The 19,819-nt window shown below is 42.2% G+C and overlaps 1 protein-coding gene across 6 annotated transcripts in view; it reads left to right on the top strand.

Moving 5' to 3' along the window:
* Positions 1-19,819, top strand: part of KAZN (kazrin, periplakin interacting protein) — a 1,225,220-nt gene that overhangs the window by 287,235 nt on the left and 918,166 nt on the right. For all 6 annotated transcript variants that reach the window (XM_011541074.4, XM_005245795.6, XM_011541080.4 and 3 more), the window contains exon 2: positions 377-534. In XM_011541074.4, the coding sequence (XP_011539376.1) occupies positions 377-534 (158 nt within the window). The remainder of the gene's footprint in view (positions 1-376; positions 535-19,819) is intronic.

The raw sequence follows: 19,819 nt of genomic DNA on the forward strand, positions 1-19,819 counted from the left end.
GCCCCGTTAATTTCTGCAGTTTATAAACACTTACCACAAAGTCATATTCATGTATCTATTTAACACCTTGATTTTTTTTTTTAAGTTTCTGCAACAGGACTAGATACTCCATGAAGGTAGGTACCATGTCAGGCTTTGCTCACAAGTGTATCCCCAAGCACTCTATGTAGGCTTGGCATTTGAATGGTGTTCAATAAGTGTTTGTTAGTTACTGAACATGTTTGTTAATGGAATTTATAGATGTGTCAAGTTCTTGATACATGCCTGGCTTAGACCTTGTATGTACACCCTTACTTTTCTCTTCAAAATGGCTAGTCAATTTCTCTTTGAAAGTTACCAGTTGTGACTCTACTTTTCCTTCTTTTTCTTTCCACAGCTGTGCAATCATTGCACACCCTCAATGACCAGATTTCCCATTTTATTGTCACCAAGTCGAAGGCACTGGAGGAGGACAAAGACCCTTTTCTACCCACTGAGAAGGAGACTCTGAAGAGTTCCATGATATTGATGAGGCACCTCTTAATGGATGCTCAGGTACAAAGATCAATACAGAAATTCTCTATGGAGAAGGTGGAATCTTTTTTTCTTTTTGGCATAAGCTGTCCAAAAATGTTCAACTACCACACCTATTGAAACCTGTTTTTCTGATATAACAGATTGGATATGTTGAGTATTGGATTTCTGATTAGATCTTATTTGGAATTTAGTATTAAAATAGCTTTTTAAAAAGTCAAAGTAATACAGCTTAAGAACAGTATATTTGTTGTCTCTGAGAATTTAACAGATCTCCCATTAGCCTTGGAAAAGTGAAAATCCATTTACATACAAACTTGGCAGGCATCATAGCTGGCAAAGGCTTTGGAGTAGAGCAAATACTTGTCCCAAACAGCATAAGTAACTAATGAATATTTTGGTGCATTTGCTGTACTCCTCCCGCCCCGCCCCAGTAAGTACATCAGCACTGGTTTTGCTAGCGCTGAATTTATTGAGGAAGGTATTTAGCTCATTGTAGGCTATTGTTGAGATGTTATTCAAGGTGTCTCCTTGTGTACTATTTTATCGAAATATTTAAAAGTTATCTACTCCTTCTGGCTTTGTTGGTGGGTCTCTTCAGACGTGTTGATAGACAAACACCAAGTGTTTTAAGAGAATTGATAGTTTTCTGTGTTAGGGAAGCCAAACTGAGCTAGATCTAATTGTCATTCCTACCTCTTCAGTGTCGGGAAATGTTTCAGGAAATGTTCTGTGGGTTTGGTGATTTTTGTGTTCATTTGCCCCGGGGATTTCTTCCTGAGCTTGTTTTCTGTTCAGCATTGCTGAGGTCAGAATGGTTGGTGGTTTCTTTCATTCCGCTCTGTAGCAGAGATTTTGAACTGTGGTTTCTTTGCTTTTGTTTCTACGCTGGTAGTGGTTTATGTTTTATTTTTAAAATCAATCCCGAAGCCCGGGTCTTGTACCAATACGGCTTTAACTGGCTGTGCCTTTGTGCCTGTCTCACCTGTCAATGCCTGAAGCCGCCCCATGGGATTTTTGAGGCCCTCTGTTGAGATGGCCCAAATTATGCAAAGCCTTTCATTCCTATTCACGGTTCTCCTGCTCTCCTTCATTATAAACAGCCCATTCAGCTTCTCCTCTCTCCCCCAGCCTGTCTGGTGGAAAAAGGAAGGATTCTGAAGCTATGACAGCCAATTTTGAAACTCAGAAAAAAGGGAAATTTAGAAGAATTTACTGAATAAAAGAGAGCAAATTGTTCTTGAAAGGATTAGCTTTCCTCGAAATGCCTGGTCCCAATCCTGTAGCCAGCACCTCAGCCAAGGGAACTGCCTAAATGAATCCCAAAAGGCATTGTGTGTAAACTCCAGTTTGCAAAACCTAAGGTACTGAAAAAAGTGCATATTTTTCTTCTCCTTCACATCCGAGCTTACTAGTGCCTAGAACTGGATTTCAAAAATGTTTCATATTCCGGAAATGTTTGCTCCCACCGAGTGCCTAATTCATTAGAGAGCCTTCATCCTTTGTGGTGTTGACAATGAATTTTCCCTTTTTTATTTAAGGAGATTAAAATATCCCCTATCGTGTAGTCATCGTGTAGGAATATTTTCTTATCATATTTTCTCCTGATCCCAAATCGATGACTGCTAGAATGTTCTCCTTTAAATGGCCAGATAAAATGGAGTGGGATATGGTGGATATTCTCCTAAGTCATATGCTAAAAAGGAAGGTGGGTTACATCTTCTTCCTCTTTCCTGAAGGTAGGTGTCTACCTGGGTCAGGTAGAAACGTCATGTGGAAACCCCATTGTTTCTTTTGCCTCCTAACATTCCAAGATTCCTTGCTTCTGTCTTTTAAACTAACAAAGGATGAAGTGGGTTGTGATGAGTTTAGTATACCACTCTGATTGGTTTTCTTCTAAAACCGCTAACTTTTTGAAACAGTGTTTTGGTTATGATCCTCCGTTCCTTGCTGAAGTCAATTGGGATCATGTCACCTGCTAACCCCAGTCCTGTATCCTGCTAGTGTCTCAGATGAGTGTTGCCAAGCTTATAAAATGCCAAGGAATCCCAACGTTTTGGGGATGGCCAGGGATGATATGTGATTTTGAGTTTTGAAGTAGACACGTAAAAATATGTCATTTTTAAAAAAAGACTCTTTATTGGGCATTTCGGGGGCTAATTCACTTATTTTCCATCTGTGCTTTAACACTGCTTCTTCTCTCAATTCCAAAGACAAATGATTGTACTCATTTTCATACACTAAGTTCATCAAGAGTGGGAGGCCGATAGAATGTAGATATAACTTATCTGAACATCCTTTCGTTCAGTCTGCATTTTGTGATATTAATAGGCATCTCTTAGGTTTTTGTGTTGCAGGATGTAAGCCTTTCAAGGGTAGTAACCACATCCTTGAACTTGGTTGGTATAATAGCCCTCTCAGTTCCATACCCACAGGGCCCTTAATAGTATTAGATGATGATGAAACACTCTGACATCAGCTTGCAAGTCGAATGAAGTCAGGCAAAAAGTGTTCCACAGAACCTGGAGGCTGCTTGAGAGTGACTGCTTAAAATGCATAATCGATTCAAGTCACATCTGTTTGGAAGCAATAAATCCTGCTTAGGAGAACGTCAAAGGCAAAAGCATTGCCGGACTATGAAATTCCACCTCTGAGGATTATAAAACAATGTGCACAGAGCAAACACATCTCCCAAGTATAATGGGGAAGCCAGAGATGATTGGCAGGCCTGACAATCCATCCTGGAAAATGGAATCGCGAAGGGAGCACCTCACATGGGTAGCCCAGAAAGCCCGCAATTAGGTGTTCGTCCCCTAAACGTTTTGAGCATGGAGGTGTCTGAAGAGGCCTAGCACCTCTATTTGCATTCCATTTCCTTTTTAGTTTGCAGGCCCCCAAATTCAATGGAGTCTGCCATTCAGATCGCATTTGAAACCCGATCTTGTGGCTTTGATTCCTGAGAGCCCTGTCTAAACCCAAAATGCCGACTCAGCCTCCTAAGTGATTAGATTCGTAACACCGAAGAAGCGATTCTTTCTGGTAGAGATTAATTCTTTTACTCATACTGTGTGACTCCGCATGCTAAGAGGGGTTGATTACAGCAAATTAAATCTCTCCTTGGCAGTTCTCTCCCTTTACCCCCCAAAGACCTAATATCATTATTTATTAAGGGGAGAAAAATGCTTGGAAAAATAATAAGATTGCTTTGTTGGCAGGAAGGTCCCCCTCTTGAAGGCCGAGTGCTAAAGGGTAGAGAACTTTCTGTGCACCTAGGGGCTTCCTTCTGCAGGCCATGGAACAAAGGGTGGCTGAGGGAGAGTCTGTGCTCTGCTGACCTAAGGAGGCTGCCCTGGGTCTGGACAGGAAGTGGGTAGCCTCTTTGCCTAAAACTTGGCCTGTACTGGGACTAAAAGGAAGAGCTTGCTTTAAGGGAGGCTGAATCGTTGGTATACCCTTCCCAGAGGTCCATCTCTAGGGATGAAAGTAAACCCTTCAAAATAAAAATAAACCACACAACTGTCATCTCTAAACAAATCTCGAACAAAGTCCATCGTTAGGCGGAAAAGACCTGAAATTTGCTTTACTCTTCAAACTCTCCGTTTTTCCTTCTGCCCTTGTCTCCTCTTCCCTTTTCTTTTTGCTTTTCTTTGTCTTCTCCCTCTGCCCTTTTTCTCCCCACCCGACCCAGCATCTCTCCTCCTCCCCTCCTATTTTCTCCTTCTCTCAAATCTATTCCCCTCCTCCCTCCCTCGCCTTCTCTTCTTTTGGTTGGCAAAATAAATGTTAGCTGAGATGTGGAATTACATTCTGCATTTTTCACTTCCTTCTCTTCCTTCCCTTTCCTGTTCTTTCCTTGTCTGTCTTTCTTTCTGTTATTTGTGTTCGGGGAACTGGAAAGCACATTTGCCAAAAGCCTATATTCCCCCTTGCCAAGCAAGAGCGGAAGCAGCAGCAGGAGGGAAACCTGGCATTTAGGAGGCAGATCGGGAGCCCTGCCAGGATCAGACACTGCATAGGATTTGGGTGGCTTCGTTTTTCTTTTCTCTTTTTAAAAGAGCTGTCTAGCAAACTCTTCTAGATGATTGTGCTTTCCAATTGGTTTCTGGCAAAACTGGGCCGATTGAACATGATCAGCTATTTTAGCTGTCTGGACACTCCCTGGCCTCAGATGGGGAAGTGCAGTGTGGACCAGAGGAAACCTTGGCTCAGGTTCCTGGCAGATAGGGAGGGTTAGCGCCCCAAAGTCAACATCATCTTGCATTGGGAAGGATGCCTTGGGAACCGAGCAGTTCACACCTATTATAGAAGTGCATTTTAATTTGATTCTTCTGTTACTAGCACTTTCCATCCCTCCAGATTCTTTCCGAAGTTGATACTGTGGTCAAGGTAGGTAGGCCTCTGTGGCTGTCACTGGTACAGTTATCTGGAGCTTTCTAGCTGCTGCCGGCTTTAGGGTTATGCCTATGAATGTGACCTGGTTAGCCCTAGAGAATGTCTTGCCCTCACTTTATACAAACTGAGACATCAGAAGGATCCTGGGCTTAAGAAGGTCACAGATGCTGGCTGCGGCTATGGATGGTACCGCACATGTGGGTTTTCCTTATCCTCTGGGATGTAACACCATGATGGAGAAAGAATTAGAACTCTCTCCCTAGGTTCTCTTCCTTAGCAAGCAGGGAAGAAACTCTGACATTAGAACCAGGGAAAACAGGCAAAGCTTTCATCCTAAGAAAGTTACCCTGGGATATCTTGAAGTCTACTCATCCCACCAGCTTTCCACCTTGTAAAAGTCATAGGAGAAAGAAATACTTATATGGATGCTGAAGAATTTAGTTCCCTTCACTAAAAAGCTACAATGATAAGCTGATTATTCAAAGGAGTCTTAGCACATCCCCTGAAATAATCCATGTGCTCCATTACGCATCCTTTCCTGCGAGTTTGCAAAAGCAATGCTTATTTTCCATTCTTAGTTGCAAAACTATCAAATCAGCAAGTCCAAAAGCTTGTAGTTTTTTACATAACTCTTACAAGCCCTCTTTCCATACTGCCACAATAGTTTTGATCTTTAAAAGGGTGTTTGTTTTGTTTTGTTTTTGTTTCAGATAAATAAACTTTAAGCCACAGGCATTGCCAGGCTTAGATGCAATCCCTTCAGTTACGGAACTTCTGTACTCACCCTTCCTGTTTAGAAGAAATGGAGGATAAGACATAAAATTGTAATACTCTTGTTCTGTTAAGCTTGTGTCTAGGGTTTTTTTAAATTGATAGAGAAAGTTAGACCCTCCTGAGACCTCTGTCATCGTTGTAAAATCCATAAAGCAAAATGTTCAGAGAATGCAAAGTTGTTTCAGTGTTTGGTGCGCCAAGACACAGGTCGAGTTGGAAATGAGACTCAGAAAAAAGATTGATTTCCATTCATTGTATTCTGAAGGAAAGTTGCACCTCTTACTTGGGGTGAGTGATGCTTGAATAGAATAGTGTCTATCAAACTGGTCCAACTTCCATAGATCTGTATAGTGCCAAAGGACAATTTGGGAATTTGTTGGTGCAAAACTTCAATTACTTTCGTACCAACTGAATATTTTGTACATCATAGAGCTTTTATGTTACATTTTTTGATCCTGAGTCATTAGTTTAATAACATTTAAAATGATAATAAAATGGAATTTATGCTGGTCTAATAAGTGATGGTTCCTGTTACAGTAAGCAGGATACGAAATAGTAACAAAATCATGTAAGGAAGGTTGGGGTGAGGATTCGGTTAGGATTCCTTGGTTGTCAGCAACAGAGACCAGCTCTGATAAACATTAACAGGGATACACTTAATAGAAACCCATGGGTAGCTCATAGGAAAAGATAAAGCATTACATCTCAGAAAAGATAGGAGAGAGGGTAGCTATGGAGATTTAGGTGTCAAAAGCTTAAAAGCAATTGTTTCAGCGTGCTGTGGTTAGGACAACTTGGCTCCAACCATTTTCTTTCTCTGTGTCACTTTGATCAAGATTCAAATTCTTGGAAAACTCTGAATGATCTGTCTTAGGTCACTGGGCCCTCCTCTCTTTGACCGTGGGCAGGTAGGCTTGTTGATGGATGGTCTCGCCATGACTGTGAGCAAGTGCAGACTGGTATTATTACCACAAGGAAGAGGAGTAGATGCTGGCAGACACCGCTGCAGATGGAGGCAATAATTAATTTACTCTGCCTGCTGCATGCGTGGACTTCATGCTTGGGTCTCAGTACACAGCTTGGCACTGCTCTAAGTTCTAGGGACAGAGAGGGACAGAACTTTACCCCTAACTCTCCTCCCCCACCAGAGGGGTTCAGGATTAGATGGATAACTGGACGTTGAAGTGCTCCATGATAAATACTGATGACAGCGTACATGGGGGCTGTGGAATCTCGGAGAAGGACCTAGCTGATATTTGCAGATCACTTTACTGTTTACAAAGTACTTTTGCCAGCATTTTCTCATCTTCTCAGCCATGAGAGGGACAGGAGGTTGGGTATTATTATCTCTATTTTGAAAACTAGGTATTAAGCTTGAATAAAATAGCCTTTTTTACATTGTTCCATCCAGCCCGTCGCAAAGAAGGAGTAATTGATTTCCTACTTGCAGATGGTGACTTGGAGTATTTGCTTCCTGAGGGGTTATTAAATAGATAGAAAGGGGGTATGTAATTTTGGGAAAGAAGAACATTAAAACCTGGCTTCAGATATAGAATACCTCACATAACTAAAAATATTTTGACAATTTTAATATGTTGATACATTCTTAAAGCTACACACTACCCTCTCAGACTCCTAGAAAGGTTCAGCTTCCAAGAATATGGTTTACAAAAGTATTTAAATAGAATAGGAAATATATTACAGCCCCCTACCTCACATATCTCATTTTCTTCATGATGTCTACTGTGATGTTGGCAAATACTTGGCTTCCAAAATAATACCCAATCCCACCATCACCCTTTAGATGAGAGGCTCCCAGCTGAGAAGGAAGCAGAGCAACTTTGCTTCCCTCCCACACCAGGTGACATCTGGCAATGTCTGGAGATATTTTCAGTTGTCCTGACTGGCAGGGGGTGAGTGTGCTGCTAGCATCCAGTAGGTAGAAGCCAAGGATGTTGCTAAACTCTCTACAATGCACAGGAGAGCTGCTCACAGCAAAGACTTATCCAACTTCAAATGTTAGGAGTGTCAAGATTGAGAAACCCTACTTTAGGTCCAAGGCTAACTTTTTAATTATTTATGGAACTCTTTTGATTTCGGAATTCTTTTATTTCAAGCCCTATAATTGATCATAATTGATTTTCCAGATACATCTTCGTTATCCATTCACTCACTTTCTCCTTTTTCTATTGAGCATCTGTTATGTGCCAGGGATGTTGCCAGCCTATGGGGGAAACACCGGTGAAGATGAAAGGAGTAATCCTTGCCCTCAAGGATCTGGGGTTTCACTGGGGGCAACTGACTATAAATATGGGAGTAAACAGATAACAGTGAGTTTTAATGTTTGTCTTAAAGAAACACTGTACCAGGACCCCATTTAGATAACAGTTCAAAGACATTCTCTTTGAACATGACATTTAAACTTAGATCTGGGGATGGAGAGAGAGAGAGAGGAGCGTGTGTGTGTGTGTGTGTGTGTGTGTGTGTGTGTGTGTGTGTGAAAGAGAAGCCTTGTCTCATGCTTTATTGCATATATTTGTACTTTAGTTTTGTGTGTTAAGCATTACCCCATGAGGTGATTGGAAATAGCTCCCCTGAGATGTTGCAAAAGATATATACAAATTATTTTTTCAGAAATTTACATTTAATTTAGGGAATATAACAATTCCAGCTGGTCCCTTGGGAACAGAGGATCCTTTAATCCTTTGCCTATTGGTGTCCACAGAGGAACCGGGATCTCAGGCTTTTCTAGCTAGATGCTGGGGACATAGAGACACACACAAAAGAAGGCTAGGGTAAGAGTTGTTCGAATTTCATGAGACATAGGAGTGGGATGGATGAAGGGGAAATGAGGAAAGTGTAGAGCTGTTCTGAACAAGAATATGAAGAATATGCAGTAACTTACCGGAAGAGCAGCCTCATAGAATCTAGCCAGTAGTCAGTTCTCAATTATGTACCCATAGATTATCCATGGGCAAAGCATTTCTTCCCTGGTGGCATGCACTCAGGAAATGTAAACCAGTGTTAGTCTGAATGAGACAAAATTAGGAAAGTAATTTCATTGCCAATATTTTTTTCCACCACAATTGAATTCAATATCAGACTTTTTTCTTATCCGTTATTTAGTATCTTTTTAAGGTTGTAGCTCCCATCCATTAGTCAGATGATAGAGAGCCAAATGTATGCCATATAATTATAATCTTAAAAAAATTGCACTTAGAACAGGAATCCTTATACACATTCATATTAAACTCAAACAGTCCCATAAGAGTAGCCAGGTAAATTGAGGCATGGTGTTGCTAAGTGTCGTCATTTAAATCTGACGTTGAACCTGGGAATACAGCCAGTAAGACTCCTTGGTGCCAACTCGAGCCAATAGCCCATGTTCCTTCATTCCTTGTCTTTGAGTAAATCACACTTAAAAGTAGTTTAATAATGAGATGGTGACCTGGCTATTTTAAGTACTCACTTATTCCTGTGGGACTTGAACCAAGGTCATTTGCTTTGGCCAGCTTAGTAGCCCAGAGACTTGCTTTCAGAATGGATGTTCTTGTATTGGATTACTGAGTCTGATCCCTCTTTTATTTTTCTCCTCCAAAAGTACAAAACAAAGAGGAGCTCATGATACAATTGATACTGAGAATCATGGCATAGATTTGTATCCGTGACTGCTGCCTTAAAAAACCATCCCAAAACAGTGGCTTTAAGCAACAGCTACTTCTATACTTCCTGTAAGTCTATGGATTGCCTGGGTAATTCTGCTAATACGGACAGGCTTGATTCATCTTGACTGGTGTCCCTCATACATTGTGCACTGGGGCCTGGCTCATCTTAGATGTCCTCAGCTGCAATGACTCACCTCTCTCACCCTCCTTAGCAGGCTAACTCCAGAATATTTCCATAGTGGTGATAGGGGTCCATCAAAAGAAAAAGTAGACAAAGCAATCACTTTTCCAGCCTCTGTTTGTATCAAGTTTGCTGCTATCCCATTGGCCAAAGCAAGTCGCATCACCGAGGCCAGAGTGAGTGTGAGAAGTTATCACCAAGAGGTATAAAATACGGGCCATTAATTCAATCTATCACACAAACAAATCAGCACAAGGTTTCTTAGGATAACTCTTGGCAATTTTTTATCTATTGGAAATGGGAGTTTAAACTGCCCTAAAGCAAGTTTTATGGACCTTCTGTTTTGGAAAGACTGCTCTAGTTGGTCTATTTAGAGGGCACGAACTGTGTTCTTATACCCCTATATGTGCACAGAGAACAGACTGTCTGAACAGCTGGAGGACATAATTTAAGAGGCCTCTACATCCAACTTGGGCAGGATGACTTCAAATGGGCTGGTGATGAACTGGGAGAAGTGTAGGCTTGTGACAGAGCTAGAAACACGATGAGCCATTAAAAGTACATCAATTCAGCTGGTCATTACAACAGGTGCATGGTTAATTTGTTCAACAAATACTTCCTGAGCTTATACCAACAACCTGAAAGTCACAGTGGTACACATTGCAGAGCGATGTGAAAAATAAAGGTAGTGAAAGATTATTGAGTACTTACTAGACGCCAAACACTCTGCTAAGGATTTTACCTCCATTATCTCATTTAATACCCCCGGTGACTTTGTGAGGGACGTGGGATTTTCTCTATTTTACAGGTGAGGAAACTGAGGCCCAAAGAGGAAATTTATTTAAAGCCACATAGCTAGTGAATACCTGTGCTAGTTTGATTGCAAAAATGGCTGTCATTCTTTACTTTCTTTCTTTGCAATGTGACTTTGCAGCCTTTCTCTATAAGAGGCATTTACTTGCCCTTTGATTCTGAACTGGCCTATACTTTTCTTTGGCTAAGATAATGCAGTAAAAAGGGTGGGTCGCTTTAGAGACTAGACACCAAGATACCTTGCATATTTCTGCTCTTTCTTGAAATTCTGTCTACCATGAGAACAAGCCTGAGCTAGCTGTCTGGAGGGTGAGGGATCACGTGGAGCCCAGGTGAGTCATCCTGCTGAGTCCCTCCTAGACTAGCCAGCTCCCAGCAAACCTACTGAAGTGACAATGTATGAGAAAGCCCAGCAGATTTCAGCTGGGCTCATCCCAGAACAGCATAACCACTAATCTGCACACTTATAAGAAATAATAAAGTTCCAAGGTGTTTTGTAACGTAGCAAGAGCTAGCTGACACAATTGCATATCCAATATTTGAATTCAGGTCTGACTTACTAAGACCTATAACTGAAAGGGGAGCTGGAAAGTGGTCTAGTCATGTTCTCAGGAGAAAGAGGAAAATAGATTTGGTGAGGTTTTAGCCAGTCTCTGCAGCATGTGCCCCCTGGTTTTACACCATTCATCCAGCTTGAGAACCACAGTAATGGTGATGGATTTAATGCATTTAAGCAAAAGGGTGCATTGAATGCATTTAAGCAAAGGGATGTTATGGTTATATTTGGCTATTTGAAATATTACTCTGGAGGAAGAGTGAAAAATGGATTGGCTGAGGTGAGACTGAGAACAGGAGGCAGTTTGTTTTGGCAATGGACTATAATGAGGGGCAGTAAGATTAAAGAGGAAAAAATATATTCAGGGAATGTTTAGCAAGTAGCAATTTCATTAATTGAAATTTGGAGGTGAAAGTGAGACATGGGTCTAGGATGAGCCTCAGATTATGGTTTAGTAACACCTCATAAAGGAAACAGAAGGAACAGCAGGCTTGAATGGGGAAGTAAGGAGCTTGATTTGGAGATTGAAAATCTAGGGACCCATGGTACATCTAGGTGTAGTTGTCTAAGAGACAGTCTTTTATCTGTCTTCAGCCTGAGAGAGAGTTCCGGGCTCAAGGAACACGTCTGGGAGTCATCAGTGTCTCTGCTGATCATTGGAGTTATGCTGTATCCGTCATAGTTTTTAACAGCAGACATCAGCAAACCCTCTAATTTAACTAGAAAGGACTTTTTAAGAGAGATTTTGGTAGCCTACAGAATCTCTAAGAGGTCTTGAAACTGGGTTTAGAGACTACATAGCCAGAAATAACAGTAGCCAGGAGAAACCATCCATAAGACTGTTAGTGGAAACTGCACAGCAGCTGCCTCACACAGGCAGGTGATGGGTGGCATCCATGACACCAAGGACAGAATGCTAGGACTCCCTCCAGAGCTATCCTAGAGAACCAAGTACTTCTGCCTCCAGTTTGCTAAAGGAGCCAATCTCCTCTCTCACCATGGCTGTCTCATTGGCCACCAGCATCTTACTCCTAGGTGCAGAACCTAGGCCACCTTGGGAAATGCAGCTGCAAGGGAATTTTTAGCTTTCCATTTTCTGTAGTTCAGGGAGGTGGGCTAGAGAGTGGTGGAATGTGTGTGGCCTGAGCCAATTCGTGGTACCCCCAAACATAGACATAGAGGAAACTCCACAGGGAAATTAAGACAGTGAGGAACAAAGGGGAAAAGAAACACTCTGTGGAGTAGGCAAGAAAATCCCCATTTCACTTCAACTAGATTGAGTTGGGCTTCTGTCACTTGCAACATGAGGAATTTTGAATGATAGGGTACCCAAACCTTATAGGAAATGTCATCCTTTATATGCAATACTGTCCCATTGATATTCCATACTTGGTTAGCCACAGGACAGGGTGGGAGCTCTCCCTGAGCAGAGGTGTCTGGTCACTTGAAATTAAGCTCCAGGGACCCACTCATTTCTACACTTGTGCAGTCAAGCACAGAGCTTGAATTCAAAGACCTGTATAAAGCTACAGTCATTTAAAACCATAACTTACTAAGAAGAAACTTGAATATATACGTGGAGGTGGCATAAGAAGTTTTATTCCTGGTCTGGAAAAAAACTTGTTCTAGAAGCACAAGCTGTACACTAGTGTTCGTAAGTGATGTGTACCATAGTTGAGTGTATGTGATGACTTTTAAATATATTTTCAAAGAAAATTTGAATCAGTGTTTTCAGAATCTTTGAAATACCTCTACAAAACACAGTTATGCAGAACACAGTTTGCAAATGGATGCCCTACACTGCATTTTCCCAGCTGCATCAAAAAGAAATAATTCCTTTGTTATGAGTTGAATTGCATCTTCAAGAATAGCTATGTTGAAGTCCTAGCTCCCAGAACCTAAGAATGTGACATTATTTGGACATTGGGTCTTTACAGAGTTAATCATGTTAAGGCCATTAGAGTGGGTGCTAATCCATTATGACTGATGTGATATGGTTAAGCTTTGTATCCCCACCCAAATCCCCATAATCCCTGTGTGTCAAAAGAGAGACCAGATGAAGGTGATTGGATCATGGGGGCAGTTCCCCCATGCTGTTCTCATGATAATGAGCGAGTTCTCAAAAGATCTGATGGTTTTATAAGGCGTTCTTCCCCCTGTACTTCTCCTTCCTGCCGCCTTGTGAAGAAGGTGCCTTGCTTCCGCTTCACCTTCCACCATGATTGTAAGTTTCCTGAGGCCTCCCCAGCCATGCTGAACTGTGAGTCAATTAACCTCTTTCTTTTATAAATTACCCAGGCTTGGGCAGTTCTTTACAGCAGTATGAAAACAGACTAATACACTGGTGTCTTTATAAAAAGGGGAAATTTGGAGACAGAGACAAATATGCACAGAGGTGAAACAATGTGAAGACACGTCTTGGAGAGCACCATATGAAAATGAGGGATTGGAGTGATGCGTCTGTAAGCCAAGACATGCATGGGGCTACCAGAAGCTGGGAGAGTGGCCTGGAACAGAGGCTCCCTTAGAGCCTTTAAAAGGAACTTACCCTGCTACCTTCTTGATTATGAGCTTCCAGCCTCCAGCACTGTAAGACTGTAAATTGCTGTTGTATCAGCCACCCAGTCTGTGCTACTTCCTTGTGTCAGCCACAGGAATCTAATACACCTCTCCTGATCAGAAGATCACAAACTAAGAAAGACTAAGGTGTTTTTTTTTTTTTTTTTTACCAGGTATAATTCAGTTCAATAGTAGTGCATTTCTTTTTTTCTTAGTTTAATGGAATAAAAATGGTTGCACTTTGAGGCCAACCTGTGTGTTTCCTTGATCTCCATAGAGTAACAGCCTTGAATGCTGGCCCTAGAGGTTTTTATTTTATCAAAGATAAGCCTAGGGTCCTCTAAGAGCCCAGGCTTGGCATAGCAGGCGGCTGTGTTTTAACAGCATTTGCTGTAGGTGGTATCGCTGTTGTTTATGCTGCTGATGCCAACATCACGCATAATTTGTTGATTCCCTATTATTGGCTTCCCTGGGTGACTGGAAGTTGTCACCTGGCTTATGGCTTTCTTTTCATCATCATTACTGCCTCCACTCTGTCATCCTTCCAACTCTAAATCAAAGGGAAACATGTCTTCCCTCATCTGGGAAGTATTCCAGATGCATATTATTAGAATGGAGGAGCACTTGACATTTCAGGTGATCTTTAGGGCTTCTTAATCAGTTTCAACCAAATCTTGATACTTTAGAGGACGCATGGGGGCAAACAAGCAAGTGGAATGGAGATTGAGCAAGGCTTACCAGCAGCTGTAGCTTGTGGACAGAGTCATGCTGCTACCCCAGGGGACAAGTTGAGTCTCCCAGGATCCAGAATTTGGCTCAGTGTGGCAAACCTGGTTGTCATCTTCTGTCCACCATCTTCTGCCTTTGGAGGGATTGTGGAGTGGATTAAATTCCTCTCCCAGGACTTTTCCAGTTCCCTGGACTGTTACTTGCTCTTTTGCATGAGGCTTCTGTTTCCCTGGTCCAGTTTCCTTGATATGCCCCCATTAGTCAGACTTGCCCTTTCCCCATCGTTGTCTGTGTCCCCAGACCCATCCTCTCCCAGCAGTCCTTGGGGAGGCAGTCTGTAAAGTATCTATTTGCATTTGGAGGGAGGAAAGACTCTGGGAAAGTACAGTGTTTTTCATGAAGGCTTCACTGAGTGCTATGTGCCAGACAGTGCAGTTGCCCTTTCTTTTTAGTTTTGTGGAGCAGCATGAGAGTATTTTGGGATAGGAGGGCATGGGCCCTTGAGGGAACGTAGCCAGCCTAAATCAGAGCAGCTGAAGGGAGGGGAGGGGGACATGAGCCACCACTTTCTAGAGGAGTGAATCTGGAGTAGTTTGTATAATTTGGGAGTCTGGCAAGGATAGAGATTTGAGATTGAGGAGCCTCAACCTGTTACGTGACTGCCTACTTGGTCTACCTGTGGGACAACCCTGTTTATCTTGTGCCAACCCCTCTCCAGATTTGGTTGGAGTATTCAAGTATAGTTCTCATTTTCAAGGAGGCACAATTAAGCTGCTTGCATAGTTGGCTGGAAAATGCTTTTCAGCCAACAATCAACCCTTCGAGGAAAGACCAATACATTCTCATAGAAATTTTCTATAGATACAACAGCTTATTATAGAAGAAAAAATATATTTTTTTAAATTCTATAAGCACATCTGAAATTTTCCCTTCATTAATGGAGTGTTTCTAATTCACTGATAAGGCTGTTCCTTCTTCAAGGCTGTTCCTTCTTCAGCAATATGGACAGGTTTACTCTTCCAGAGCCCAGGAATTGGCACTATTTTGTCACTTGTCCCTCCACCCTCCCTTCTTTATCTTCTAGGACCTCCGATACCTCCTCTTCATTCTGCGTTGCTGATAGCTTTTTCTCTATGTCCAAGTGTTTATTAGGATTGAGTCCCAGAAGCCCAGAGAGAATATGGTAGAGGGGTGTGTGAGCTTGTCCAGAGTGGGCCACCTAAACAAAACCAGAAAATCATCCATCAGGGATTCCAATTACAAAAACGGCTCACACACACACACACACACACACACACACACAATCACTAAACATTTGGAAACTACTGACAAAATGAGGCAGAAATGACAAAATTACAGACTCAATAAACTGGAAAACTTACATCTGAGAAAATAGTTAGCAGATAAATTGGAACAGGATTTTTAAATAAGTATAATTAATATCCTCGGAGAAATAAGAAAATGTTGCATCTGAAAAATCAGAACACAGGCCCTTCATTCATTCATTTGTTAATTCTGCCCCTACTGATTGAGTTCCTGCTGTATGCTAGGCATAGTTAAGGCACTAGGAAATCGAAAGTAAGTGAGGCAAAATCCCAGTCTTCCTGGAGCTTAAAGCCTAGGCGGGAGAGATAAAAACATAACTAGTAAAACAAATAAATTTATGTGTCAGGCGATGTATTGTAGAAGGAAATAAGGTAGAGTCAGAGGTTTAAGAGGTGTAGGAATTGAAGTAGGGGCATCCAATATATGTAGGGTGGTCCAAAAAGGCCTTAAAAAACTAAGAGAGTGGATAAACCAAGTGGATGTCAAGGGAGAGACCATTTCAGAGACAAGGAACAGCAGGTGTCAAGGCCCTGAGTCAGGAGGATGTCTCAACTTTTTGAGGAACAACCAAGAGACAACGGTGGTTGGAGGAGGGTGAGCAAGGGTGAGAGTTCCAGAGAATAAATCAGAGTAGAAGACAGGGCAAGGTAAGCCATTTATGGCTTTGAAGGAGTCTGGCTTTTATGCTGAACAAAAGGGGGAGCCTATGGGGGATTTCAAACAAAGGAATGATATAATTGGATTAAATATTCCAAAAGAGTAACCTGTACAATAGGGCCTAAGGAATGGAAACTAGGTGACCTATTAGGAGACAGTAACCCAGATATGAAATAATGTTACTTGGACCATTACCTCTCCAAGGTGGTGAGAAATGGACAACTTCTGGAATTCCTTTTAGATGATGCCAAGAAATTTTGTTGATATATAGGATGGGAGGTGAGAGAGAAAGAGAGGAGTCAAGGGCAACCCTGAGGATTTTGGCTTGGGCATCTGGAAGAATCGAGAAGGCTGGAGGGAAGGGAAGGCGAGTGAGAAGATCAAGGGGAGGTGATTAAAGGCAGAATCAAGAGTTTGGGTTGGGACATATGTTTAAGATGCTGGGAGACCTCCAAGTAGAGCTATTCAGTGAGAAGCCTGGGGTTCAGGGAAAGAATCAGATTGGAAATACAAAGTTATGTGATGGGGTAAGTTCCTCTAGGGAGTTAGTGTAAATGAGGAGAGGAGAAGTCCCAGGACTGAGCCCTGGGAAAGACTAGTTTCCAAAAGCTGGGAAGGCGAGGAAGAACCAGCACAAAGACTGAGATGGAGCAGCCAGTGAAAGTGAAGGAGGCTTCAAAGAGAGTGCTGCCACCATAGCAAGCTGAAGAAAGCATATTAAGAAGCTGAAAATGATCCTTTGTGAGCAATTCTGCTGATAGATGGGCCGGAATGAGGATGTTCATTGATCACTGGAGGCAGCAATGTGGAGGACATTGGTCCCTGTGATAAGGGAAAATTAGGTGGATTCTGGGGGCGTGAGCCCAGCTGGAATGAGTTCAGGAAAGAATGGGGAGGGGGGTAGAGATGACTTGTTAGTGTTTTACCAAGGGGCAGATCATGGGTCCAGTAGTTAGAGAAGAATATAGAGTTAAGAGAAACGGGGATTTTTTTGTTTTGTTTTTAAACAGAGCATATCATGTGTTGTTGAGAATGAGAGAAAGATTGTTGATGCAGGAGATAAGACAGTGCCTGCCATAATGCTCTTGCACAGGTTGTCAAGGTGGAAGGAATTTGAGAAAGAACCAATTAGAGATCTTTTAAATTAAAAAAAAAGTAAATGTTAAAAAAAAAAAAAAAAAAAGGCCAGTCAAGGTGGTACATGCCTGTAATCCCAGCACTTTGGGAGGTGAATCAGGTGGATCACCTGAGGTCAGGAGTTCTAGACCAGCCTGGCCAACATGGCAAAACCCTGTCTCTACTAAAAATACAAAAATTAGCCAGGCGTGGTGGCACGTGCCTGTAATCCCAGCTACTTGGGAGGCTGAGACAGGAGAATCGTTTAAACCCAGGAGGCAGAGGTTGCAGTGAGCCAAGATCACACCACTACACTTCAGCCTGTGTGACACAGCAAGACTCCATCTCAAACAAAACAATAACAACAACAAAAAAGAAAAACCACCACTACCAGAACCTTATTTTCTAAGTAGACTAGAAGAATGAACAAATACGAAGAGTGAGCAGGAAGGTCAGGCTGATAGATTCCCCCAGAAAAAGCATACAGGAATAAACATGAGCGTTCTAAAAAACAAGTTGATATGTGGAGTTGAGGAGCCAGGAGAAGCAGGAGAAAAATAGGGAGAATGAAGGGGATGACATTTGTGGTCATAATGGCTGGAGTGTTTGTAGAGCTGAATAAAGACATGTGTCCTCAGATTGAACAGGACCACCGGGTTCCACTCAGGGTTGAAAAATCATAGTAACAGAGTAGTAGTAGTAGTTGTTGTAGTCGTAGTAAAAACTTACACATTGAAATATCACAGTGGCATTTCGAGTTCTCAAGCATAAAGACAAAAATTGAAAAGCTGCCAGAGACAGGCTGTTATGAGTTAGGTCACAAAGGGGCTCTGAGATCAAGGAAAGAATTTTATTCCAAGAGCAATAGAAGCCACTAGAGGATCCTAAGAAGGGAGAAGGATGGTGATAAAAATCTGACTTTTTACAGATGTTTTAGGTTACTGAGGGAGAGTAGATGATGGCAAAAAGACTTGATGGGGTCAGGCATAGTGGCTCACACCTGTAATCCCAGCACTTTGGGAGGCTGAGGTGGGAGAATCACTTGAGGCCAGGAGTTCAAGACCAGCCTGGCTGACATGGCAAAACCCCATCTCTAATACAAATATAAAAATTAGCTGGGCATGGTGGCGCATGCCTGTAATCTCAGCTACTCAGGAGGCTGAGGCACAAGAATCAATTGAACTGGGGAGGTGGAGATTGCGGTGAGCTGAGATTGCGCCATTGCACTCTAGCCTGGGTGACAGAGCAAGACTCTATCTCCAAATAATAATAAGAAGAAGAAATTGATGGTTGGGGCAATTGCGGAAGCAGGGAGAGAAGGTAAGAAGATATCAGATTTGTGCCATCAAGAGGTGAATGTTTATAACTATTAATATGAAAGTGAGTATTGAGAACTTAAGTGTCCAGCACTAGTATAACCACTGTACATATGTTTATTTATTCCATATTCATTACAACCCTCTAAGGTAGGGTTGTCTATAATCTCCATATGACAGATGAGAAAAGGGATGCCCAGAGAGGTTAAATAAGTTACTGGAGGTCACCCAGCCAGTAGGTGGCAAAGCTAAGGTTTGAACCTGGGTAATCTGGCTTCAGAGCCCAGGCTTTAATCAATACACATTAGGGCTTTGCACTGGAGTATTAATAAAAAAGAATGGAGGAGTGGATGGGTTTGAGAGATAGTCTGGAAGCAGATGTGACAGGTCGATGATATGGGAATAAGGATAAGAAATGCATTAAAAATGATTCCTGTATTTTGACTTGGGCAATCTGGGGTACTCCTTACTGACATTGCAAGTCCCTGCTTAAATACAGTGTTTCCCATTGCATTTAGAATAAATCCACACTCTCCTCCATGACTTCTAAGCCCCTATGCTAATAGCCTGCTGAAAGTGACCAACCATCCAGTTTCCTCAGGATTGCTACTCTCCCACCCTCACCGCCCTTTTCTGCCCAGTCAGGCAGTGGGACTCTCCGATCTCCCACCTTTGAACATGTTTCTGTGAGTAGACGGCTCTCTGTCCACACTTTGCACAGATGGCTTCCATCACTCCTCAGGTCTCAGTTTAAATGTCACCTCTCGCAGGGCCCTTCCTGACTACACTATTGCATATAGTCCACCATCAATTCTCTATCTTACTCATTCCCCACCCTCCAAAACTGATCACAGGCTCAAGGACTTGTGGAATTCGTCGCTGGGTTGCACCCTCCTTGAGTGCAGGGCCCAGGTCTGTCTTGTTCACCTGCCTGAAGCAGGCACTTGCCATGCAGTTGTTGAAAGAAGGGCTCTGGGGATGAAGTAAGAAAAATTGACAATAGTTGCAGCAGGAGACATTTTACCAGCATATCAGGAAAGACTTCTCCACTGGAAGTTGCTAGGAAAGGTTACCAAGAGAGCTTGCAGCAAAGACATATTCAGAAATTAAGGCTTCTAATGATATCCTTAGCATTTTTTCCCTCTGCTTCTGCATCTCTGGCTTGCTCTAATCACAGTTAAGGAGTCAGCTGAGACCCACAGGGATCTTGGGCTTGCTGATA

Source organism: Homo sapiens, chromosome 1 (assembly GCF_000001405.40).
Source record: "Homo sapiens chromosome 1, GRCh38.p14 Primary Assembly".
Lineage (NCBI taxonomy): Eukaryota > Metazoa > Chordata > Mammalia > Primates > Hominidae > Homo > Homo sapiens.